This window comes from Homo sapiens, chromosome 2 (genome assembly GCF_000001405.40).
Source record: "Homo sapiens chromosome 2, GRCh38.p14 Primary Assembly".
In the NCBI taxonomy this organism is placed as follows: domain Eukaryota; kingdom Metazoa; phylum Chordata; class Mammalia; order Primates; family Hominidae; genus Homo; species Homo sapiens.
Window position 1 is genome coordinate 219035865 of NC_000002.12, and position 25371 is coordinate 219061235.

The following is a 25371-nucleotide window of genomic DNA, read 5'->3' on the forward strand; positions in this document are numbered from 1 at the left end:
TCAGACATCACGTCTTCCAAGACTGGAACTGTTTTGCAACTAGAGCCCCTGCCCCTGAAGCCTTCCCTGGGCGGCTCCATCAGCCACTCTGTGCAAACACACAAATGCAGGCTTCTGTTCTGTTCCTCAGTGCACCCTCAGATAGCACCCCATCAGGTGCCTCCTCCCCTCTTCCTCCTCCCAGTCCTGCCCCTTGCTACACATGCCTCTCCTAGCTAGAGCAGTCTATCCCAGGCCCTTTTCCAGACCACATTTCCCTCTGCACCATTCCCTCTCCCATTCCTCAATTGGCTGGTGGGGCAGAGGAGGAGCCAATTTGCTTGCTGTTCACCCCACCCATCCCCTGCCTTCTGGGGCCACTCCAAGTGCTGCTCCTGGTGATTGATGCTAGTGCTGCCATGTGCGGCGTCTCCATCTATAATGGAAAATCTTTCCATAGGCTTATCCATCACCCCTTTCTAGATGAAGAAGGAGGGGGCATGGAAACCCCCCTGGGGCAGTAAGGTGGAGGGAGGATGAACTGGATGCCTCCTCCAACCACAGTCACTGCCATGCGCACTCAACTCATTGGCATTTTATCTTTTTTTTTTTTTTTTAATTGTAAGAGTCTCGCTTTATCGCCCAGGCTGCAGTATAATGGCACAATCTCGGCTCACTGCAACCTCTGCCTCCCAGGTTCAAGTGATTTTCTCGCCTTAGCTTCCCGAGTAGCTGGGATTACAGGCACCCGCCATCATGCCTGGCTGATTTTTGTATTTCTGTAGAGATGGGGTTTCACCATGTTGGTCAGGCAGGTCTTGAACTCCTGACCTCAGGTGATCCACCCACCTTGGCCTCCCAAAGAGCTGGGATTACAGGTGTGAGCCATCATGCCCGGCCAGCATTTTATTTTATCTTTGACCAAGTATTGCTTTTATATTGTTGCATAATATAAGGATATAGTCATTCATTCAACAAATATTTTTTGAGTACCTATCATGCACCGGACACTGTGCTAGGTGCTGGGACTACAATGGTGAACAGGACTGACAAATCCCTTTTCTCTTGGAGCTTACATTCTCAGTTTCAATATTTACTGAGTGTGTCTGATGGCCAATATACTATTTTCTTTCCTGAGTCACCTATGGAAGAAAGGTGACATGCATGATGGGAGGTAATTTACTATAATATCAGTTGGTGCATCAGTCAGTGTCTAGGCAGGAAAACGGAAGCCACTCTGAATGTTTAAAATAGGGAATTTACTGTGGCCGGGTGCAGTGGCTCACGCCTGTAATCCCAGCATTTTGGGAGGCTGAGGTGGGTGAATCACGAAGTCAGGAGTTCGAGACCAGCCTGGCCAATATGGTGAAACCCCCGTCTCTACTAAAAATACAAAAAATTAGCCGGGCATGGTAGCAGGCGCCTGTAATCCCAGCTACTTGGGAGGCTGAGGCAGCAGAATCGCTTAAACCCCGGAGGCGGAGGTTGCAGTGAGCTGAGATTGCACCATTGCACTCCAGCCCTGGTGACAGTGTGAGATTCCGTCTCAAAAAAAGAAAAACAAACAAACAAACAACAACAACAAGGAAATTTACTGCATAACCATGAGTAGTGAAGGAACCTGGGAGTTGGCAACAAGAAGCTGCCACCGCACCTAGGTTAGAAGTGGTGGGGTCAATACAGCCTTGAGGCCTGTCTGGTGGGAACTGGAGCCACAGGGGAAATGCAGCTGCTGACAGAGACACTGTGTACAACAGAGAGAGGAAGAGAAGAGAAATGCCCTGGCTTCTCCCTTCATCCCATCTTCCAATCTCCTCCTAGCTCAGAGCAGAGCAGGGAAGGGCAGTGAGTGAATCCAAGGGCAAACAGGCCCGGAATGGCACAGAGGACAGAGATGTCTTTTAAAACATGACCCTCAGTCCACAGGGAGGCAAGGGCAGCACACCTAAGGAGCTGGGCACCATACACCATACAACACAGACACACACTGCATCATACACAAAGCCATACCCATAGTCAAACCCCTGGACAGCTGCATCATCACATAGAGAGAACTACAAAGAGCTGCAAAAAGTAAACAGTATCCATACATTATTGGTCAAACACAAAGTCCTAGGGGTCAAGGCCGGAAGAACTTCCTGAGGAAAGAGAAATCCTGGCTATCCAACCAGCCTCTGACTCGTTCCTCCCTGGCACTCTCCTACCCCACGGCCTCTCAGGCACTCACTGCTCCCAGCACTCCAGTGTGCTTGGTGATAACAATGGTGAACAGGACTGACAAATCCCTTTTCCCTTGGAGCTTACATTCTCAGTTTCAATATTTACTGAGTGTGTTCGATGGCCAATATAGTATTTTCTTTCCTGAGTGACTCATGGAAGAAAGGTGACAAGGAAAGTCTAGACAAGGTCTAGTGCTCAGATGCAGAGGGAAGAGTCAGGGCCTCTCAAGATTCCCACCCCACTGCCCTGCCACCCATGCCCCGCCCTGGCCCTGCCACACCCTGCTCTGCCTGCCCTGGCTGTATCCTTACCTGGGCGCTGATGGTGCTGCAGGCACTCATGGCTGCACTGCTGTCGTTGATGGCAGGGATGGCCACTGTGCTGGCACTCAGGCAGGATCCACCAGAGTTCACGGTGTGGTTCCTGCTGTTCCTGGACCTCACGACGGAGCTTGGAGCCTGGGTGAGCATCATGTCCTTGGGACACAGTCCAAAGGGAGCACTCTGAGTATGGAGCTGGGAAGAGAGCAGAGGGGAGAGGAGACAGGAGTGACATGAGAAAGAGAGGCTGAGGGAGGAGACTCTCATGGCCATCCTTGTCATGGAGGAGAGGGTCTGCTTCCCAGCTCTGGCAACAGGTGCTACCTGGCACCATGAGGAATGAGGCTGTACACGAGATCCAGGGCTTTGCCTGGGAGCCCAGGGACTCACCCTCAGGGAAGGCACTCCAAAGAGGGACTTGGGGACAAGGCCCACCCCACTAGGCCCCTCCATGGCCACACTTGGCACTGCTCAGCAAGCTCCAGTGGGTGTTACTGAAGTGTGTGCATTACCTTTATCTGGCTTTTACTCTCTGCTTGTTTCTTCTGAACACTCTTGCCTCTTAGGAGAAGAGGAATAAGGGGGAAAGAAGAGGCAAATGAGACTGATGGATTCTCCACCTTCTGGGTTTTCTCCACCAGTCTACAACCGGTTAAGGTAAACATCACTGAAATAAATCAATCAAAGCATAAGTCAATCCATCTCCAGAGCAGAGGGATCCTCGATGACTGTAGCTGAAATCATATGCAAATATATGTGGCACATATATTTGTATATATGCCAGATGCTATGTATATGCCAGATGCTATGTATGCATACATGTCTGTTTTCCAGGAGGAATGGCCACAGTTTTCACCAAATGCTCAAGAGGATGCTTGACCTCAATCTAAGGCACACAAAGTATCTCAGACTAGCTCTGGCTCCCTCACCTCGAATCCCCTCTTCCTTTAGCTGGCTTCTTTTAGCACACACACTCAAGTGTGACTTTGTTACCTCGACAAAAGGACAGCAATTTTCACACTCACACACCAAGACTAAGCCAGCCCCACTCAGGCACATGTGGAAGTGGTTTGCAGATCCCTATAATGACTTACCTCAAATGGTTCATCTCTGATTTCCCTTTACACTTGACATGAAGCCATCATGCATGAAATCATAGAACATGGCACTGCCCCCCAAAATATAATGCAATCCACATGTGTACTTTAAAACATTCTGGTAGCCACATTAAAAAAGTAAAAAGACACAGGTAAAATTAATTATAATGATATATTTTATTTAACCCATCATATCAAAAATACTACATTGAATATGTAATCGATATGAAATTATTGAGGTACTTTACTTTCTTATTTTGTATTAAGACTTTGAAATCTGGTGTGCATTTTACATTTACAGCACATCTCAATTTGGACTACCCATATTTTCAGTGCTGAATAGCTACATATGGCTATTGGCTACCACATTGGACAGCATCACTTTAATACCTTTTTTGAACATATGTTTATTTTTCAGACTACTCAGTATCCTCCCTCACTTCTTCAAATAACAATCTCAAAAATAATAATGTCTATTAACATGTACTGAGAATCCACGTGCCAGGCAGTGTTGTAAAGTCCTTAGAGGGATTTTATTTATTTATTTATTTATTTATTTATTTATTTATTTAAGACAGACTCTCATTCTGTTGCCCAGGCTGGAGTGCAGTGGCAAGATCTTGGCTCACTGCAACCTCCACCTCCCAGGTTCAAGCAATTCTCCCTTACAGGTATTTTAATTCTTACAACAGTTTATGATTACGTGTGACTTGCCCATTTATTTGGCCTAAAATGATCCTTTTTCAAGTTTGTCGTTTAGTTCCTTATTTTAATGTGTTCAGATTTAGCAAACAATTTCATGATCACCCTTTAGGAATTTATACAGTTCCATCAGACACTCTCTTATCCCTCCCCCACCACCCACCAACACCCTTCCAAAGCGGAAGATTCTGTTGACCCTGGTTTTCCTAGTTGGCAACATGTCTAAACCCTCTGGAGGGGACTATCTAGATTCAGTCGTTCGTTCATTCACAAAGCACTTACTATTATGTACCAGGTACTGTGCTAGGCACCAGACAAGGCAGGCAAGGCTCCTACCTCCAATTGTGAACTGGACGTTCAGATGAAATCAAAGAAATGTAAGCTGAGGAGACACAGAGAGAGTCCATTACTTTTCTGCCACGGGATGGTCTTGCAGCCCTGTCCTGACTCATTAATGCCTCTGACCTCAGGGGACTGTACAGACAGCTCCTGCCTCAGAGCTCTGAAAAAGTCTCCACTCAACACATGAAACTATTCCAGAGAGTGCATGGAAGAGATGAGAGATGATGGGGTAGAAAGCTGGTCCAACACAGGTCATAGGGCTAGGGAAGTGGTCCCAGGGCAAGGGACGCTGGGTGCCAGCATCTTCTCAGACTCTACGGGGATAGGCAAATTTCTCCATCTCCCGGAGCCTCAGCCTCCTCGCCTGTAAAATGTGGGTTATCCTGACGATTTCACAAAGTCGATGTGCAGCTCGAATGAAACAGAGGATTTGAAAAAGCACTAAACAAACACGTTATAGTAATTAACAACCATAACTTTCCCACTAGCCTGCACTATTCTTCCAAAAGACTCACACATCTGCAGTCGTTGTGAAGAGACTGGGCAAGCGAGGTTTTTTGTTTTGTTTTGGATTTGTTTTGTTTTAAATTGAAGTTTCCAATTTCGAGGACTTTAAAAAATATATATCATGAGCTTCCTTTATTTGCCTAATTGCTGATCTAAAAATCTCCAAGATGACCACTAGAAAAAGTGGCAGGTCGTCGTATAGAGTCGAGGGAGAAAGAAATAGATGAAACAAAGGGGGACAAAATACACTTAGAGCTGTTTCTTCTTTCTCTTCGGGATCCTTAGTCTGATTGATCTCGCCCAAGACTCAGTCCCATGGGGCTCTCTGAAGGGCATGGAGGGGACCTCTGGCCACGATTTCCCGAAGGATAGGGTCTCCCGGGACAGATACCTTCCCTGGCCACTCGCGCCGCTCCCTGAGACCCTGGGACCTTGGGACTAACGCTCAGAACTTACATCGCCTCCATATTGCCGTCTCCATAGATACAGGACGCGCAGGAAACGGCGTCTTCAGATATCCCAGGGCAACGACGGCAGCCCGAGTAAGTCAAGATTCGTAGAAGGCGAAGGCACCGCCCAATTTTATTTCCTATATTCAGTTTTGATTCCCTGACTTTTCCTGCTGGTAGTAACTGTGGGCTTCTACCTGTCGCGACATGGTAATGTAGAGCCTCCTAGTTGTCGTGACGTTCCAGCAATCATGACTTTAATTGACGACCAAATTCACAGGAAGCTACTCTGTGGGCTTGGCACTCTGACATGCATAGAGACAGAAGCTCATTCTCTGTGATTGCAATTGTTAACTTAAAAGCAGCCCGCAGTTATTTCTTATTTGAATATTGCTTTGCAAATAGAACCCTTTTGCTGATGAGAGGGAATGCGTCCTCTGCGTTTTCTCCCGGCATTTCTTCTTGGTCAGCAACAAGAAAAATAACTCTTTTGAAGGGATCGGAAGGTTAATGTATAAAGGAATTATTATACATAATGTAGACTTTCGGAAGCCCATTGGTTCATTTGTTGGTATGTGTGTTGGAGGAAGGGTCCTATTTTGTGAAGACTCCTTAGTAGGTGAAGCTGAAAGTCTCAAAGTTCACTCTTGGGTAACTAAGGATGTTTTGCTCCTCAAGACAGTGAACCTATTTCCTTTCAGATGGAAGGGGGGATGTGACTAGGGGGAGAGAGCTTAGTGAGTCTAGGGGTAAACACAGAAAATAAGCTATCATTTTGGGAGAGTTGGAGTTGACTTGTGAAAGGTGAAAGATGGACTGAGATGGCAAAGTGGCCTGAGCTGGCCTGGGAGATCACATGGCCAGAGACTGGCAGGGCTGGAGGGAAGGGGCAGGCAGGGCGCCTGGTAAATTACGCCAGCAGGATCAAGAGTTTTCCGGGAATCAAAGAATGTGGAACTCAGTGAGCTTTTCCCTGGATTTAATGGGATTCTCAGAATCTGAAACCTGCACTTTGGACATGACGACTTTTATGCTGTTTGTAGTTTCTATAATTATTTCCTTTTTGTTTTTCCCCAAATTCTTTTTGAAATGGTCAGCCTAACTCAGCTGGACCTTAAGGACAAGGAAAGGAACTGGTTCATTCTTAGGCGAAAATGAAATAGGGACTTTGGGGGCAGGGTTTGGTGTTGGCCCCAGGAATCTCAGTGGGAAAACTCCAAGGAGGAAGCACAGCTCATGCTAAAGGCGTCCTCGTGCCTCTTCACCGGGGAGTCTCCTTCCTGAGCTCTTGCCTGCTCAATGGTGGATTCTGGGTTTGGAAAAATTAAAGGGAATGGTTCCTCCTCTTAGCAGGGCCCCTGTAGCCTCTGCTTCTGTAAGCGTCTAGCTGCCTCCTAGAAGCCCTGATGCCTAGTGACCACAGCTGACATCAGTGGACTCCCAGGGAGAAGCCTGTGTGCTGGACTTTGCCCAGGGAGGCACACACATGGAAAGAGCCTTCACAAGGGATTGAGCCTGAGGAGGGAAAAGAGGAAGCTGAGTTTGCTTTGAAACTCTCCCTTTCCAGGAGCCTAGAACCAGTGGAATAATGGGTCCTGGGACCTGTTGATCATATTTTCCCTGGACCCAAAAATAGATCATGGGAGAGGCAGCCAAGTGCGGTGGCTCACACCTGTAATGCCCACTCTTTGGGAGGTGGAGGCTAGTGGATCAGGAGTTTGGTCAGGAGTTCAAGACCAGCCTGACCAACAGGGTGAAACCGTGCCTCTACTAAAAACATAAACATTAGTCGGGCATGGTGGCTCATGCCTGTAATCCCAGTTACTCGAGAGGCTGAGGCAAGATAATTGCTCTAACCTGGGAGGCAGAGGTCGCAGTAAGCTGAGATCGCACCACTGCACTCCAGCCTGGGTGACAGAGCGAAACTCTATCTTAAAAAAAAAAAAAATCACTGGGGAGGGTTTGCTGTTTGGTTCAAGGCTGGGTGACAATACAGAAAATTGATTATCAGGATGTAGGAGAAGGGAGGAAGGATGGAAGGGAGACGGCCTCAGATCCTCCTGGCCTGGAAGCTGGTGTGAGGAATAATAAAGGTAAAAGCACACTCCATGATTTGAACTTCGACACACATACAAATACCTTTTCTAAGCTTCTTTTTCCCAGATATCTTCCCACACCTCTATGCCCCCCATCATATAGAGAAGACCCAGGGCTGGGAAATCAGGCAGACCTGAGATTAATCCCAACTCTATTACCAACTGCCTGTGTGACCTTGGGCAAGTCACATGACCTCTCTGAGCTTCAGTTTCCTCATCTGTTACCTGGGGATAATTCTCAAAAGGCAGGTGGGAAAATTGGGTGATAAGGTATGTGTAAAGTACTTGACACATGGTAGGCAATCAACAAAACCTCTCTCTCTCTCTCACACACACACACACATACACACACACACACACACACACACACACACACACACACACACACACAGAATATTCACTAAATGGGAGGTCTCTGTAAGTAAGCCACTCAGCCTTCTGCGCACTTGCGCCTCCTACAAGCATCCAGCCTCTTGGCTGCATGCTGGAGAAGTGGGAAGTTTTTGCCATCTCCATGTCCTCCTCCTTTGTTTCTCCAAGAAGGAGCCTACCTTGCTGCTCTGGGTGGAAAAAGACAAAAGGAGACACCAGGGTGCCTGGCTATCCAGTTACAAGTCCACCCAGATCCAGCACTTAGAAAGCCCTCTCTTGCCTTTCTCCATCCTGAGATTCTGACTCCATTTTGAGTGTTGGTTCTGGAATCAGTTTGCGTTCAAGTTTGTACTTGAGGGATAGAGGTGAAAAGGTGGGCTCTCCCCACAAAAAAAGATGAGTTCATGTCCTTTGCAGGGACATGGATGAAGCTGGAAACCATCATTATAAGCAAACTATCACAAGGACAGAAAACCAAACACTGCATGTTCTCACTCATAGGTGGGAGTTGAACAATGAGAACACATGGACACAGTGGGGGGAACATCACACACTGGGGCCGGTCAGGGGGTGGGGGCTGGAGGAGGGATAGCATTAGGAGAAATACCTAATGTAAATGATGAGTTGATGGGTGCAGCAAACCAACATGGCACATGTATACCTATGTAACAAACCTGCACGTTGTGCGCATGTACCCTAGTACTTAAAGTATAATAAAAAATAAATAAAATAAAATAAAATGTAAAGGTATACCTTTAAAGAAAAACAGAAAAAGAGAAGGTAGGCCCTCCCACAGAAGCTCCTGTCCTCAGCAGTGAGTGAGGTGAGTGTTCTCAGCCCAGTCTAGGGTGGGGGATAGAGAGTGAGAAAAGGCTGTAGCTAAGAGGGACACTGGGTAGTTTAGGGCTGGATCTAGGAGCAGACAGAGGACATTCTCTGCATTAGAGGGTCATGGTCCCCTGCAGCTACTGTTTTGGAGGGTGTTAAGAGACTGGTTGCAACTCCAGCCTGAAAGGGCTGCCAGGACCCAAAACTGTCAGGGTTTGGGGATAGACTGCCAAATGGCAAGAAAATTTAAAGGAAAGCATTCCTTTCTGCTGCCTGGGACCCCTGTAGGATTTTCTTTTCTTTCTTTCTTTCTTTTTTTTTTTTTTTTTTTTTTGAGGTGGAGTCTCGCTCTGTCGCCCAGGCTGGAGTGCGGTGGCGCAATCTCGGCTCACTGCAAGCTCCGCCTCCCAGATTCACGCCATTCTCCTGCCTCAGCCTCCCCAGTAGCTGGGACTACAGGCACCCGCCACCACGCCCGGCTAATTTTTTTTTTTTTTTTTTTTTTTGTATTTTTAGTAGAGACGGGGTTTCACCATGTTAGCCAGGATGGTCTCCATCTCCTGACCTCGTGATCCGCCCACCTCAGCCTCCCAAAGTGCTGGGATTACAGGCATGAGCCACTGTGCCCGGCCAGGATTTTCTAATTCTCCTATGCAAACCAGGCTTCATAGATAACTTTCTCCCTCTATTCATTGTCTCCACCACAGGGTAGAAAGACATACAAGCTAATCGTAGGGGGAAGGAGGAAAAATGACATGAAGTCTAATCTCAGAAAACTCAAGTTCAAATCCTGGTTCCAGCTTTTAATAACTGAGCAATGTCAGGAAAATGGTTAAACCTCCCTAAACCTGACTTTCCTCATCTGTAAAATGGGAACAAACAGGAGTGTAATCAAAATACTTAACAATTGGGAAGGTGTGTGCACCTATGAGCATGAGAATGGACCTGTGAGCCGTACACCAGCTGGCCTTAGAGCCAGAGCCAGGGTCCTGGAAGCCCACATTGTGCCAGGGTCATAAGGAAGCATGAGTAGTTTAGGGAGGGGACTGGAAGAGCGTCCAGGGCAATGAAGGGCTCAGTAAGTGACTGTTTGCCAACTGGCACCGAAGTATTTCCAGATATAAACAACCAGTATAGCCATACTGTACTGGGTGCAAGTCAGACTTAGGGGTAAATCCCTACCTTATTAGCTACTGCATACACGGTTATTTCAACTGGAAGTCCTTCCCCTTCTTGATCCTCCTCCCTGGGGGAGGAACTGTGAGCACAGCTAACTGCTTGTTTTCTTCTAGTCTAAGCATTGCTCCTTTTCTGTGGTAGCTCTCTCTGCTGCCTTCACCTACGCAGTCTCCAGCTGGCTCTATGACCAGCACCACGGACAGCTCCCGCTGGCCAGGCCATCCCCCTTCCTCCTTCCTCCAACCTTCTATCGCCTCTTTCTCCACTTACCCTAATGCAGAAATCCCGAGGTCTGAACTGAATGAGAACATCCCTGAGGAGACAGTACAGTGGAGTGGCTAGGAAAAAGACTCTGGAGCCAAGCAGACTGGAATTTTCATCCCAACACCATCAGCTATCAACTATATAATCTTTTCCTTCATTTCTATAAGAACCAGGTTCCTTATCTGTAAACAGGCAAACCTATAACTGCTACCTCAAAGGTTATGAGGTTTATGGGAGACAAAAGAATTAAGAAACTTAGCACAGTGCCTGGTCCATTACAGGTTCTGAGTAAATGAAGAAGACTTATTATTCTGTGACTTTCCATCTTACTTAATTCCTCAAACGTTTTTCCAGTCCACTTCTGACTAGAGCCATCTCACCGGCTCAGTGTGGCTGGCCTTCCTCAGTGTGGAAGTCAGCCTGGACTCAGGTATGGCAAGAGAGCCCACCTTTGACTGGTCCATGAGATTCTGTGTTTGTTAGTTATTTTTGCATTTTAAAAATTTCAAGTTCATTTTATTATTTTTCTTTTTAAAATTATTATTATTGTTACCAAGATAGGGTTTTCTTCTGTTGCCCAGGCTGGAGTACAGTGGCACAATCATGGCTCACTGCAGCCTTGACCTCCTGGGCTCAAGCGATCCTCCTACATCACCCCCTAACCCCCACCCAATCTGCCACCACCAGTAGCTGGGACTACAGGTGCGCGCCACCATGCCAGACTAATTTTTTTTTTTGTACTTTTGTTGTGGAGATGGAGTTTCGCCATGTTCCCCAGGCTGGTCTTCAACTCCTGGGCTCAAGTGATCTTCTTGTCTCGGCCTCTCAAAGTGCTGGGATTACAGGAGTGAGCCACCACTCCTGCGGAGTTAATTTTAGATGTACCAAAGAGTCACGAAAATAGTACAGACAGTTTTCATAAACACTTCTCCCACCTTTCCCTTACATTAACATCTTACATCACCATAGAACAAAACCAGGAAATTAACCTTGATATGTTGATACACAAACGCTATTAACAAAAGTATGGCATTTAGATTTCTCAAGTTTGTCCATTAGTGTTCTATTCCTTTTCCAGTAGCTAACTGAGGATCCCACTTGGCAGTTAGTTTTCATGCCTACTTAGTATCCTTCACTGTATCCTGAGTCTTTCCTTGCCTTCCATGACTTAACTCTTTTCAAGAATACTGTCAGTTATTTTGTAAAAGGTTCATTCTGGGTTTGTGTCATGATTTCTCATGATTAGAGTGAGGATAACACAGAGGTGATATTACCTTCTCAGAGCACTATATCATAGTGTTGATATGTATTATCAGTGATGCTAACTTGATAACTTGGCTAAAGTGGTATCTGTTGGGATTCTCCACTGTAAAGTTTCTATTTCTCTCTCTTTTTAGATTTTGGTCATCCCCATCTTTTGCTTCTCTAGGATTAATAGGTTGAAACCAAGAACCCTGTCCTCACACTATCCTTTCCACCCCTACACTCCCACTCTCCCAAGCCACACCCATTCCTTATCACCTACCTGGTTCCTTTCCTCTGAGTTTTTCCAAGTTGGCCATTCAGAAGTGTGTGCAGAAGCCAGATGCAGATGCACCTGGAGTTTGTTAGGGGAACAGGGTACTTTCTGAACCTTCTTGCTGAGGTCCTGCATTTTCTGCTTGCAGGGACATTCTGAGCAAATGTGACCAGCAATGGACCACAGGCATGTCCAACCCCATTCCCAGCTCTGTCTGCAACCCTTGAGCACTTTCTTCAACATTTGACGTTTGGGTTTTAAAAATCTCTAATCGCATTTCTCTCCAATCAGCCATGTATAACTTCTTGCTAATCACAAGCTTGTATCCATGAGCTTCCTTCCTTCTAGAATCACTGCAAAGCTCCTCACTTCTGCAGAGGTCCTGCCAGAAGGGCAGACGTACAGTTGATTTTTTCAATCAACTGAATATGGAGAGATGCGCTCATCCAATCCTCCCCTTTGTCACCACCTCCATCTGCCCCGAGTTTATTCCATTTCAGAGTTTTCTTGTGCTGCCCCTTCAGATGACAAAGGGTTAGGCCACACCTCCTCCAGGCTCATGCAATCTCCATTTTAAAAAGCCTTTGTGCCAAACTGTGTTTTGAGGCTCTGGAAAGCCTCAGGAGATGCCTTCATTAGTCCACATTCCCTCTTTGCCCTTTGTCCTGGTTACTATTGCTGTGTAAGGAGTTACTCCAAAATGTCAAGGTTCCAAACAGCCATTTTATTTTGTGGTTTTGTGAGTCAGGAATTCAGAAGCAGCTTGGCCATGTAGCTCTAGCTTGGGGTCTCTCATGTGGTTGCATTCAGAAGTTGGCCAGGGCTGCAGCCATCTGCAGCCAACCCAACTGGGCTGAATATCCAATATGGCGCACTCCCATGGCTGACAATTGGCTCTGGCTGTTAGCTGGGATGTCAGCTGGACCATGGACTGGAACACCTCTCTATAGGTTAGGTGCACACACTCTCCAGCATGGCGGTCTTAGTGTAGAATCAGGCAGAAGCTGCATGGCCTTTCTGACCTAGCCTCAGATCAGATTTGAGGTAGACCCGGCATCTCTACAGGAGAAGTGTCAAAGAATTTGTGGACATATTTTGACCGTCCCCCCCACCGCCCCTGCCACCCAACCCTATCCTAGATCTCCTCACAGCACTTAGAACATTATTCCTCCAGGACTCCCTTCTCTAACAGGGTTCTGGTTACTCCCAGGCTCATCAGTCCTTTAGGCTGAGGTGAGGAGTATGTCCCTCCCATCCCCTTGGTTTGCTGCTGCTGGAGACCCGGGTTCTGGTCTGCTAATGTTTGATTTTAAGAAAATGACTTCACCTCTGTGGGCCTCTGTTTCTTCAACTGCAAAGTAGGAATTAGGAACAACTTCATGTCACACACTGTTAGGATGAGAAAAGATCATGTAAATACCACACGTAGTGCACCTAATCGATAGTAGGTGCATAGTAGATTATGGGAGAAATGGCTGTGGGCAAGGCATTTTCCCTCTTGGGGCCTTGCTTTACTTATCTCTGAAATGTGGGTAATAATTCCCCTATTCTGCTTCCCCATACGGACGAGAGAGCTCTTGAATAGGCTGCAGGGAAGGCCAGCCCAGAGGTCAAACCCTGGCCCAGCTGGGCAGAAGGCCCAGCTGGGGTAGATGGGATGTGCATGCGTGCCAGGCAGCAGGTGTGACTCAGGCCGGTGAGGCACTCAGGGAGGGGCTATATCTACCCAACTGAGCCTTATCAGATCCGGGCTCCCCACCACTTGGCCCCATAAAACAAAGAGGCTTTGAGAACCAGGCTGAGGTGTGGGAGGTGGGGCTGAGCCTCAGAAGGCACAACCACCCAGGGGCCAGAGGGCACAGGCTGGGGAGCTGCCACCACCTACCCTGCCAAGGAGGTTTGCCCTGAAGGGGCGCCCCTCCAGGTGGGAAGCTGGGTCTATGTTCTCCAGAGAAGGCCTCCATTGCTGGAGCCCAGCCTTCTTTGGGGCACTACCCGCTGGGGCATTTCCCTCCAGGCCCTCAACTCCACTCTTGCCATGGGATACAGCATTTCCCTCCCCTACCTCCCATTTTGAAGTCTCCCCTCATCAAACTTCTAGCCCCAACTACACTGGCTCCCAGTCCCTGGGCATGCCCTGAACTTCCCCTCTGTACATCTGCTCCTGATGATACACCCACCTGCCCTTGCCCAAGTCACTCATACCCCTGAAGACCCAGGCCAACACCAACCCCAGGAAGTCTCTGAGCATTGCGCATCCTGCCCCCAGTCCTGTCTAATCACTCTGCACTTCCTCTGGCGTCACACTGTATGTAGCTTCTCTCTGAATCTTCATCCCTGGCAGAATCTGCTGAGCCTGGCAGAAGCCCAGGCCCACCAGGACCAGAATTGATGGTTGTAAAAGTTGTACACTGCACAAGGGCTCTAGGCTGAGGGAGCAGGGGGACTGAAATCCAGACACGCTCTGAAAGCCCCAGCATATACCCTGGGCTAGAGTCTCTTCTAAATGGACTTCCTGCTCCTGGCACCAGACCAGGAGAGCTGCCTTTTCTAGTTGAGTATCCCTGAGGGGGCACTTCTTACTAAATATTTCAATGGAGGGCTCCTATTTCCAGTTCCCACACAGGTGGCATAGGTGCTAGCAGCAGGCTCTGCTGCCTAAAGGACGTGTGCATTGGGTTCAGCCCTTTCCAACACAGGACCACTCACTGTCAGAAGCCATTCCACCCTGAGACCTGTGTCTCTTAGGGAAGATGGCTGAGTGCAGGCCTGCAGGGCTTCCAAAGAGCCATGCCAGCAGTGAGTGGGGCTTTCCAAACAAAAGAGAGAAGGCTGTAAGGCCAGCTTGAGGAAGGGTACTTACGGAGAGGCCCCAGCACAGCCAGATAGGGGAACCAGGGTGCAGTGAGCTTCTATAGAAGGTAACTGGCCCAGGCAGCTCCAGATGCCTCGCAGCCAGGAAGTTCCCCCACTGTGACTCCTGGACCCTGACACTCCAGGTCCTCCCAGGGACCTGTGGACTTAGGCATAGTTCTTGCATTTTGCCTGGACTGGGATAGCAGAGGCTACTCTGAATTTCTTTCCCATGCATTTCCAAGATAGAGCAGAGAGGCAGGCAGACAGAACAGGTGCCTGGAGGGTCCCTTGAACCCCAGTAGACCCTTGGATGACAGGGAGAGAGTATATCTATATAGGAAAGCCCTGGACATCACCCTTACAGGTGCAGCCACTAAAGCCAAAGAAGACCAAGGTTCAAGGTCAAGGATGCTGGTGGTGGGGGAGCTGGATTTCCTACTTAAAACCCCCAAAGTTGACTTGGGCCCTTTTCTCATCCCCCTCGCTCATCCAACCCTGGCTTCCATCCTGGCCATTCTATTGCCTAAGTATCTACAATCCATCACCTTCTTTATGACCCTAGAGCCACTTCCCTGGTCTAGGACACCAACTCCCCAGTAGTGCTTCCATGATTGTCCTCTCTGGTCTGCCCTCCATACTGTAGCCAGATGAGCTTTTGGAAGCAACCTAGTCATGAGCTTCCCCTGTTTGAGGGCCCCTGGGATTGAGTCCTATTGCGTGCAACACAGGCTCTGTGTCATCTGCCTCCTGCCTACCTCTCCACTTTGGCTTTTGCCAAGCCCACGTGACCCACATAGCTTTACCATGCTGGCCTAATGGTGGTTCCTCTAAGCCCTCAAGCCCCCAAACCTTTTATTTAACTATGTCCTTAGCCTGGATCTCTTCCACATGCCTGCCAGGAAAACTCCTTCTTGCCCCATTTGTAGCATCCTCGTCTTCAGGAAGTCTTCCTAGTCACCAGCCACTCCATGGTGCTTCAGTAGCCACTGTGAGGATGTCAGCCACAGCAGTTAGTGCACCATGTGGATATCCCTGTCTCCCACACTTCTCCCTCCCAACTTAGGAGTTTACTGAGGGCAGGCACTGCCTCTTTTCCCCAACTCAGGCACAGTGCCTGACATGGAGTGGCATCCATTAACATTGACTATGAGATTGGCCGGCCGCGGTGGCTCACGTCTGTAATCTCAGCACTTTGGGAGGCTGAGGTGGGCAGATCATTTGAGGCCAGGAATTTGAGACCAGCCTGGCCAACATGGCAAAACCCCATCTCTACTAAAAATACAAAAAATTAACTGGGTTTGGTATGGCACACGCCTGTAATCCCAGCTACTCGGGAGGCTGAGGCAGGAGAATTGCTTGAACCTAAGGCAGAGGCTGCAGTGAGCCGAGATCTTGCCACTGCACTCCATCCTGGGTGACAGAATGAGACCCTGTCTCAAAAAATAAATAAAATAAAATAAAATAAGCATTGACTATGAGCGAACATCACAGTTCTGGATGCAGCAGCCTTGGGGGCTAAGCTTGGGCCCAAGTGGAGAAGCAGGCATTGGATCTGCACTGCCTGGGTCTGGGTGGTGCAAATGACCCTCCTCTGGGTCTCAGCACTGTACAGAGGATGGGAGAGATTTGGGCCACCACACTGCAGATGTGAAAGATGATCTCCAGACTGTCTCCTTGTTTCTTCATATCTGGGCCCAGAATTCCAGGAAAAGCTGTAGGGTCTCACTCCCACCCCAAATTTGTTCTTTTGAGGGCCTGAATTCGTACAAAGTTCTTTGCTGAATCTTTGCAATCTTTGTCTGAAGAATGAATTTGTTCCCTGAGGAGGCCCATCTAGAACAGAAAGGTCTAAGGACACCAAATGGCTCTGTGTCTGCTGGACCACATGTGCCCAACCCCAGCAGGAGAGGCATCCCCCCACTCCTTCCTCCATGAGCTGGAGAGTCATCTACTGCATGCATCCACACTCACCAACAACTTGTCACCACAATCTGATCTCCCAGGTAGAATGTCTACATGGAGAGAATGTGTGAATGAATGGACAAGAGCATCTTGACCTTGGCCTGTTATTTCTCACTGTGAATGAGTTCATGAACATTTTGGTCCCTGTGAGCCTGGTCAGTAAGAGTCTGCCACAGAGAGATGGGTCCACTCTAGATGTGTTGACAAAGCAGATTTCCAGACCTCAAATGCTGAGTGCGACCTACCAGAGAGAACCTGAGTTCCCCAGGGGAAAAGCTTGGGGATAAAAACAATGGACCCAAGAGCCAGTCTGGAAGGATTCAAATTCTGCTTCTGTCGCTTCTTGTGTACTCCTGGGCAAGTTTCTTAACCTCCCTGTGCCTCTGTGTTCTTTTCTGGAAAGTGGTAATATTAAATAAAGTACACACCACATAGGGTCATTATGAGCACTAAGTGGCCTACTGAGTGTAAAGATCTAGAATAATGCCTAGCAATGGTTAGTCATCAAAAATGATAGCAGTTATCAGTACAGCCAGTGGGGCCCTATTTCTCCAGATGACACAGACCCCAGAATAATGGTTTTCTCTGGCATTTTCTTCAGTGGATGTGAGGACAGGGTAAACTAAGAGTCTGAACAGTCATCCCCACCACTTTCAACACAGACATCTGTGTAAAAGGGCAGAGCCTGGGCAGTGGCACACTTCAACAACTGGCTCCCCAAGGTGGGGGGAAACCCTAATTGGTAGTCTCTGCCAGTTTCCAGAGTTCTATGGCCACTGTGCCTATTTCAACTGACTCACAAAACTCCTGAAAATTTTGTACCACTGGACCTAGAATCTCAGCTTATCTATAGCGAGTATAGAAAAACTTGCCTTGGGATGGAGAGATGGAGGGAAAGTAAAGAAGGGGGTCATGCTGTCTTGGCAGTAAACCAGGCCTCCTCTGGACTAAGCAGCAGTTCTTGAGTGTGGCCCATGGACCATCTGCCATGTTTGGGGTGTTTGCAAAACTAAGCTCCTGGGCTTTGCACTGGATCTATTAAAGTGGAATCCTGGGCCGGGCGTGGTGGCTCCTGCCTGTAATCCCAGCACTTTGGGAGGCTGAGGTGGGTGGATCACAAGGACATGAGATCGAGACCATCCTGGCTAACACGGTGAAACCCCGTCTCCAGTAAAAATACAAATAAAAATTAGCCAGGCATGGTGGCGTGTGCCTGTAGTCCCACCTACTCAGGAGGCTGAGGCAGGAGAATGGTGTGAACCCAGGAGGCAGAGATTGCAGTGAGCCAAGATTGCGCTACTGCACTCCAGCCTGGCCAATAGAGTAAGACTCTGTCTCAAAAAAAAAAAAAAAAAAAAAAGTGGAATCCTGGAAGTGGGGCCAGGAATCATCTTTAAACAAGCTTCCCAGGTGATCCTGACATTTGAGAACTGCTAGATTAGGGATCTCTGACCTGTCCGAGAAGTCAGAATAGCCCACAAGACAACGTGAATTTTACAGAATCTTTTCACACTGTGGTCCATTACCAACAGGGAAGAGTCAGAAGCCCAGGCCCTGAGAGCACAAGGGCATGGTTATAGATGAGTAAGGTGACCATGGACTAGTCAACTCTGTTCTCTCTCGGGTCCATCCTTGTTTGGGGTAAATGGTGAGGTCAGTGTGGGAAGGTCCTGCCCTGTGCAGAGCACAGCTCTCTGTAGGGGCTTTGCAGAGCTACTGGGTGGGAATGGACCTGCAGTGAGGGTGGGAGGCCTGGAGTTTTTGTCCTTGGAGGAAGGTGAGCCAGGCCTCTCCGAGGAGGGGAGAAAACCCTGGACACAACCTTCCAGGGCTCCAAACTATCTGTGAGCATCCTGGACTCTGTGGCTCTAACAACTTAAATAATTTTTATTACAAAAGGAAGAAAAGACCAAAACATCCCCAAAATTCTCCCATGGGCTTCCCCCTCCACTCCAATAAATAAGGTATGGGAGACTGACCGGCGGAGGGGGTGGGGATCATGGTTCAGCAGAAGGGGGAGCTTAGCCGGGGGGGTGGCAAGCACATCCAACCCACCTCCCCCAGTCCCCGGCACTACGGTCACATTGGCCAGAACACAGAACTCTGCCCACAGACAGCAACAGTCTCTGGATGTGTCTTGAGGAGTGTGGCCGGGGAGGAATGTCATACCTCAGAATGGCCGGGATGGCTGCCCCACCCCTGTGGCCTTCCCAGTTCTGGACAGCATCGGGTCCAGCCAGATCCATGCTGGCTCCCAGGGAATTTAGCAGCATCAACTGAGGCGCAAGCCCACCCAAAGGGGCCTAAGATGGATGGAATGGGCCCTCCCCAATGGGGGAGGCAGAGTATGAAAACTCGTAGTGAGAGCAGGCTGAGTTGGGAGTCGCCGTGCCAGCCTCAAGGTCTCTAGGAGAGAGGGGTCAACAACCATCCCCTCGCCAGCTCAGCTTGCAGCTCTATGACTACACCACGACGGGGGTGGGGGACGCTGGTGTTGCCCAGTCAAGTCTCAATGGTGTATCTTCATGGCAGAGGAGATGGCAGGAGCCAGTGTCCCCCAGCTCAGGTCCCTTCCAGGGCCAGCTCCCTCCTGGCTGAGAGGCTTCTGGACCCAGTACAGCAGTTCCAGGAGGGCAGCGGTGGAGTCCTTTCAGCTCCCTGCCCCGGACATGCCCAGTGGGTGGAAGCTGCCCTCTTCTAGCAGGAGACGCCCCAGGCGGTAGAGCAGCTGGGGGTACCAATGCACACCCTCCCCCGGAGTCCAGCTGCCCCATGCCAAGCTGTGAAAGAGTCTCAGGGGCCAGAAGGCCAACTGAGCCAGGTGGTGGTCAGCCACGGCCGCGAAGCAGGATGCCACCACATCCTCCACCACCAGTGTCCCATGCTTTGTGAGCGGGGCGTAGGCCCCGAGGGCCACGTGTGTAGAGACAGCTGCCACGCGGGCAGGCTGCAGGCCTGGCACCCCAGCCACCAGCACGTACTGGCCAGGCTGCACGTGGCTGGCAAATGTGGCCCGGAAGCGGGCTGCCGGCTCCGTGTGATTGTCAGCCGTAAAGAGCAGGTGAGCGGGTGTGAGTGCCAGGCGGCGTGGGGGGTCCTGAGTCTCGATGACCTGGAAGGCTCTCAGCCTGTGAGGCTCGCGGTCCAGGAAAATGAGCACATCGCTGAAGGTGGGGCTCCCATCCTCCCCCATGGCCAGCACACGGTCTCCCGGCCTCACGGCTGACAAGGCCACACGCGCCCCACTCTCCAGGCGTACCTGGGCTCCGGCAGGGAAGCAGCCGCCCGTCTTGGCTGCGGCCGAGTGCTCTGTGGGAGAAAGGGACATGAAGGTGTTACTGCTGTGCAGCTCAGCCTCCTGGTCACAACGACCCTCCCTTGGCCACCCCAGCCAGCCAGAGCTCCTCTTGCTCCCAGAGAGCCCCCGTCACCATATCCCAGCTCCTGCCCCCCACTTCCTATGCAGGCTTGAACCCATACTTCACTGCCCCCATCCCCTTACTCCAATGTGATCTTCTGTGACCCCCCTCCCCAGCCTAATACCTTGCCAAGGAGCATAGTGGGGCTCCAAGACCCAGTGGATGAGAAGGAAAGGGCTACCTCATGGAAGGGGGAGGTTGCTTAGCTCCTCCGAGGCCTAGATGTTCTGTTATTTCTCACCCCTTGCTCAGACACTTCCCAAAAATTGCCCTCTCAGGCTGACTCCCCAGGTTCTGTAACAGAGCTGGACCTTTGAATGTAGGGATGTGAGAGGAGCCCACCCAGTGGGGCAAAGGCAGACTCCTGGGCAGCCTCGGAGTGAATGTTTGGGTCAGGGGCAGGCCAGGGGCGAGGACACAGTCACCATCTTCAGTTCACATGCTGAGTCCCTGTGCAGGGACAGAACACTGCGGCATCAGCAGGTGAGCTGGAGAACAGTGTTTGGGGGTCAGGAGTAATGAATGGAAGTGGTTGTCGTGGGTCAATGTTTGCAGTGAAGGGTGGATGGGCCTTGCAGTAGACACAGTTGGCAGGGGAAGTATTGAGTGGAAGGTTCAGGGTGTGGTTGTGGGTCAGGGTAGGGTCAGGAATATCAAAATGTGGGCCTGGGCTCAGTGTGCGGGTCTATGAGAGTGCAACTATTACACGCTGCCAGTGTGAAAGGCTGAGCCGGCAGCCAGGTGGGGCTTGGCTGGGAGCCACACAGGAACCATTTGGAGCCTCCATGGCTGGGTTCAGTGTAGGTGACAGGGTGCTGACAAGACTTGAGGGAGGGGTGAGGCCCCAGTGCCTGCCAATTCTGATCAACAATGCGGCCAATCTGGGAAAATCCACTTTATTGAGTCCACTTTGTTTAGTCTGGCTCTCCTGGCTGGCTTTGCCCCAAAATGTCCAGCTTCAGGGCACAGGGGGAGAGGTTGGGGACGCCTGCGCCCCAGGGAGGGCTGACCTGCAGCTGGGTGGTGGGTTCTGAGCCTCTGGGCTCCTGGTCAGGCATGCAGGTGTCTGGGCATACCCCGGCTCCTGGCCCCACCACCCGCCTTGTTCTGTGCCAGGTGGGGTGGGGAGGCCTTGTCTGGCAGCCTGGCTTCCTCCATCTGTCCAGCTTGCTCTGTCTTGCACCTCCTGTGGCAGGCTCTGGACTGTGGGCCACCAGGTCAGCACCCAGCAGCCCTGGGACAGGGCCCTATCGCCCTAGGCTCCTACCATGACACTGCCAGGCATGGGATGAGCAGGCAGTCACGGTCAGGAGCAGCCTTGGAGAGCGCCGCTGATGTCCTCTTCCCCCGGATCCCTGCCTCCATCCCCGGGCGGGCTCTTCACCTTCTCGGCACTACTCCTCCTGCCCATGCCCTGCGGCCCCGGCCCCGGGCCCAGCCCCCCGGCGGCGGCTCACCGGACTTGACGGAGCAATGCACGTGGGCCTTTGACTCGTAATACACCCAGTCAAAGCCGGCCTCCACTGCCAAGCGCGCCAGCAGTCCATACTTATTGCGGTCGCGGTCTGATGTGGTGATGTCCACCGCGCGGCCCTCATAATGCAGGGACTCCTCTGAGTGGTGGCCGTCCTCGTCCCAGCCCTCGGTCACCCGCAGCTTCACACCGGGCCACTGGTTCATCACCGAGATAGCCAGCGAGTTCAGGCGGTCCTTGCAGCGCTGGGAGAGGAATGTGCGCGAAATCAACCAGAGCGAAATCAGCCGGAGGAGCCGGCCGAGGTGCAGGTGTAGGCGCAGCCTCGCCCAGAACTCTCCCGCCACACCCAAGGGAGCTGGAAGCCCGGGAGGGTGCTGTCCCTCTCCCTTAGGAACAGAGGGCCCTGAAGTGCTCCCTCCCTAGCATACAGCCGCCCCCGGGGATCTGGACCGCACGGCGGTATCACAAATCTGGAGGAGGCATGGAGGCAAGCGCCCTGGCGGCGCCTTCACTGGTAGGTGGAGGTCCCCTCTCTCCTGTGCTGTCTTCAGCTCCGGGTATCCATCCCTCCACAGACAGGACTACACCTTTCAGCGCCCGGTCCCTCTGTGCCTCCAAGGCAGGAGGGCCAGCCAGCGGCCGGGAGGGAGGAGTGGCAGCAGAGCCGACTGCCTGCGGCCGGCCTGCGAGGCGTGCAAGGCCCGAGGTGCCCAGTAGGTGTCACCGCAGCCTCAGGGCTGAGGCCTGGGGACGACAGGCTCTGGAGGCGCGGCAGGTGCAGAGCGTCTCGGTAGCTTCAGGGGGTGTGTTGGAGGGGAATCGCCGGCCTGCCTGGATCCCTCGAGCACCACCGAGGATTCCCGCCGGGACCCTCTTATAATCTTAAACCGGCCCACAACCCCGCCAGAGATGACAGGGCCAGGGAACCAGAAACCGGCGGATTAGCGCCAGGGCCGCCCAATGGGGGGCCACATGCAACGTCTTCCTCTGCAAGGCGCAAAAGGGGCTGACAATCCCAGACCTCCAGGACCTCTGCACCGGTGCCCCGCCCCTATACCGTAGGAAGGAACTCCATAAACCAAGCTTCTGATCTCAGGGAGCCAGCTCCACCATCCTCCTCACGTGGAGTTGGGGTAGAGCCGCGCCCTGGGGGAAGGACCGAAGCGGTCATCCTTGGTTGCTGCCTCCTGGTGTGCCTGGGTCCTGAGAGCCCAAGAGACTGTGCAGCTGACTCTGAGAAGAAGCTGGGGCCAGGGCCTTGGTCTGAGGGGAAAGGCCCTTCCACCAGTCCTCGACTCTGAGACTCTGAGATTCGAGGCGCCAACAAGTGTGGGCAGCCCAAGTCTCAACCTACCCCCACCCTGCAGAGCCCGGGCCTCACAGACCCTTGGACTCAGCCTTCCTAGGAGCCAATAGCAGCTACAACCCAGGGCCTCGCAGGTCCTCGCTGGTGCACAGCCTGGCTGGGGGTGCTTACTGCCCAGGGAGGGAGCTCCGCTTGCTCCTTCGTAGACCCTGCCGTCAGGCTTCTAGCCCCGCACCTATGCCCGCCTGCAGCCCTGGTTCCCCGCCTCTCTCCCTCACTGCCACCGCCCCCTCTCGGGTCCAGAGCCCGGGCGTGCGCTGTCAATGATTGCCCAGCCCGTGGCCCGGATCCTTATCTGCATTCCTCGGCGCCCGGCCCGGCCCGGCCACCAGCCAACCTTCGGCCCCGACACTGGCCGGCCAGCCCCGGCGCCAGGGTGCATGCTGAGGGCCCTGAGTCTAGCTGCTCTTCCCAACGGATCTAGAAAGCCAGGGGCCTGCTTTCAGGGGGAAGCCTCGGGAGACCCCGAAGGAAGGGGGTGAAGGTCTCTCCCCTCGCGGACCTGGCTGCTGGGAAGGAATTTGCGCCTCTAAGCTTGGGTGGAGCGCGGGTCCTACTCCAGCATGCAGAGACTAGCGTCAGCCCTGGTCCCTGCCTCCCTCGGCATCTCAGCCCCTCTTTTCCACTCCTTCCCGTCCCCACCACCAAGCCCAGGAATCCCCTAAGCTCAGTCCCAGAGCCCGAAGGCCCCAATAACCCACCCTTCCACCGCAGTAGCACCCCTCAGCTCTCCGGACAGACACGTGGGCTCGCTGGGCAGGTTCCTTTTCCCACCTCCGCCTCCCGATTCAACTCTTCCTCGCTGTTCTTAACCCCAGACCCAGCCGGGACGCTGCTCCTGGAAGGGGCAGCCCGTAGAACCAAGAGCGCACAGGGAGGAAAGGCCGTGGTGACCCTACGCACCCAGAGATTCTTTGCCTCAGGGGTGCCGAAAAGTTTCAAAATGAAAGGGGCACAGCTGTGCAGAAGGTTAGGCCGGGAGGGACTGCGTGGGTCCTGGAGGCGCAGGAGGCAGCCGGGTAGAGGTACCTCCGGGTGCAGCGTCTGGCTGAGCTGCCAGTACTTTGGGGCAGAGGAGCCGCCGCCAACCTGCTGGGCTGTGGGGCTTGGCAGCGGGGAGCTCTTCTAGCAGTCTCCTCCGGGCTTGGGGATGCCGACACTCCTGCCTGGACCCCTGGCCAGCCCATCTTGGGCAGGAGGCAGCGGGGCTTGGCGAGAGGGGCAGGTGCCAGGGAGCGTGCCAGCCAGTCGAGAAAATGTGCCAGGGGGTGGGTAGGGCCGGGCAGGTGGCCGTGCTTCGGTGGCGGCGCGCTGGTAGGGCGGATCGCGCTCACCTGGGTCATGAGGCGGTCGGCGCCTGTGTTCTCCTCGTCCTTGAAGATGATGTCTGGATTGTAATTGGGGGTGAGCTCCTTGAAGCGCTCGGAGCTGCGAGCGATCTTGCCTTCATAGCGTCCGCTGGCGCCCAGGGTCTTCTCGGGCACATTGGGGCTGAACTGCTTGTAGGCGAGCGGCACGAGTTTGCGTGGCGGTCGCCGGCGGCTGCCCACCACCCGACCCGGCCCGCAGCCCCATGCCGCCGGCACCACCAGCAGCAGCAACAGGACCAGGCAGAAGTGCAGTCGGGGCCGGAGCCGGGCGGGAGACATGGCCGGGGAGCCCGGGGGAGCGGCGGGCGAGGTCTCCTGGTGGGCTGATGGGCAGGCGCGTCGACGGGAGCGCTGCGGGGGCTCAGGCGTCCGGGTGGCTCCGGGGGGCTCCAGGCGGGGGCGCCATGGGCGGCGTGGTGCGGCCAGGGCCGGCGGGACTCAAGTGCGGGGCGGGGGCCCAGGGCCCGAGCTGGTGGCGGCGCGCTGTCCCCCTCGGCGCCTCGACTCTGAGCTGCCGGGCTCGCCGGCCGCCAATAAATAGGCCGGCCCGTTTGTTTTGGCAACGCGGCGGCGGCGGGGGGCGGCGGGCGGCGGGGCTGCGGGCCGCCGGGCTGGGCTGGGCTGGCCGGGCCGGCGGGCTGCAGGGCCCCGCGGTTAGCACCCCGGCCCGGCGGTCAGGCGGCTCGGGCGGAGCGGGAGCTGCTGCCGTCTGCGGCGCAGCCCGGGGCCGAGTGAGAGGGGAAATGGAAGAGATCCGGGCTCGGGCCCCGCGCAGACCGCACCCTACCCATGTCCCTGCCTCCTGTGCGCTCGACAGCGAACCTGCAGCAAGGGCAGCACAGCCTCCTCCCCCTCGGGCGGGCGGCCCCGGCACTAGCCAGCCCTCGTCCCGCTCGCGCCTCCGCCGCGCGTCCGCCCGCCCGCTGCCCTCTGCGCCCCCTGCGCTGCCCGAGTTTGCCCTCCCCGCCTGGACGCGCCCCACCCCGCCCTGGCCTCGCCTACCGGCTCTTCGCGGCTCTGGGGTGCCCCGCCAGGCGCAAACCTCCC

General features: G+C 52.7%; 2 protein-coding genes, 1 long non-coding RNA gene and 1 other non-coding gene across 21 annotated transcripts in view; all 4 read right to left on the minus strand.

The window, feature by feature from the left end:
• CFAP65 (cilia and flagella associated protein 65) overlaps window positions 1–5687 on the minus strand; it is a 38706-nt gene extending 33019 nt beyond the window's left edge. For 3 of the 18 annotated variants that reach the window (XM_011510916.2, XM_011510910.2, XM_011510903.2), the window contains exons 1-4: window positions 5559–5652; window positions 4601–4700; window positions 3032–3186; window positions 2511–2714 (exon numbers count right to left, since the gene is read on the minus strand). In XM_011510916.2, the coding sequence (XP_011509218.1) occupies window positions 2511–2714; window positions 3032–3186; window position 4601 (360 nt within the window). In that variant the 5' untranslated portion in view covers window positions 4602–4700; window positions 5559–5652. Of the gene's footprint in view, window positions 1–2510; window positions 2715–3031; window positions 3735–4600; window positions 4701–5558 lie in introns of all 18 variants that reach the window. The other 15 variants (XM_017003753.2, NM_001278295.1, NM_001278296.2 and 12 more) reach the window with 13 other exon arrangements.
• On the minus strand, window positions 11159–15959 carry LOC107985987 (uncharacterized). Its single transcript, XR_001739887.1, has 3 exons — window positions 15580–15959; window positions 13202–13263; window positions 11159–12933 (listed from the first exon to the last, which is right to left on the minus strand). It is a non-coding gene; the product is annotated as an uncharacterized LOC107985987 (long non-coding RNA).
• On the minus strand, window positions 18560–25057 carry IHH (Indian hedgehog signaling molecule). Its single transcript, NM_002181.4, has 3 exons — window positions 24289–25057; window positions 21569–21830; window positions 18560–20001 (listed from the first exon to the last, which is right to left on the minus strand). The coding sequence occupies exons 1-3, from the start codon at window positions 24601–24603 to the stop codon at window positions 19343–19345; spliced, it is 1236 nt and encodes a 411-aa protein (NP_002172.2). The 5' UTR covers window positions 24604–25057; the 3' UTR covers window positions 18560–19342.
• MIR3131 (microRNA 3131) lies at window positions 22824–22886 on the minus strand. Its single transcript, NR_036081.1, has one exon. It is a non-coding gene; the product is annotated as a microRNA 3131 (primary transcript).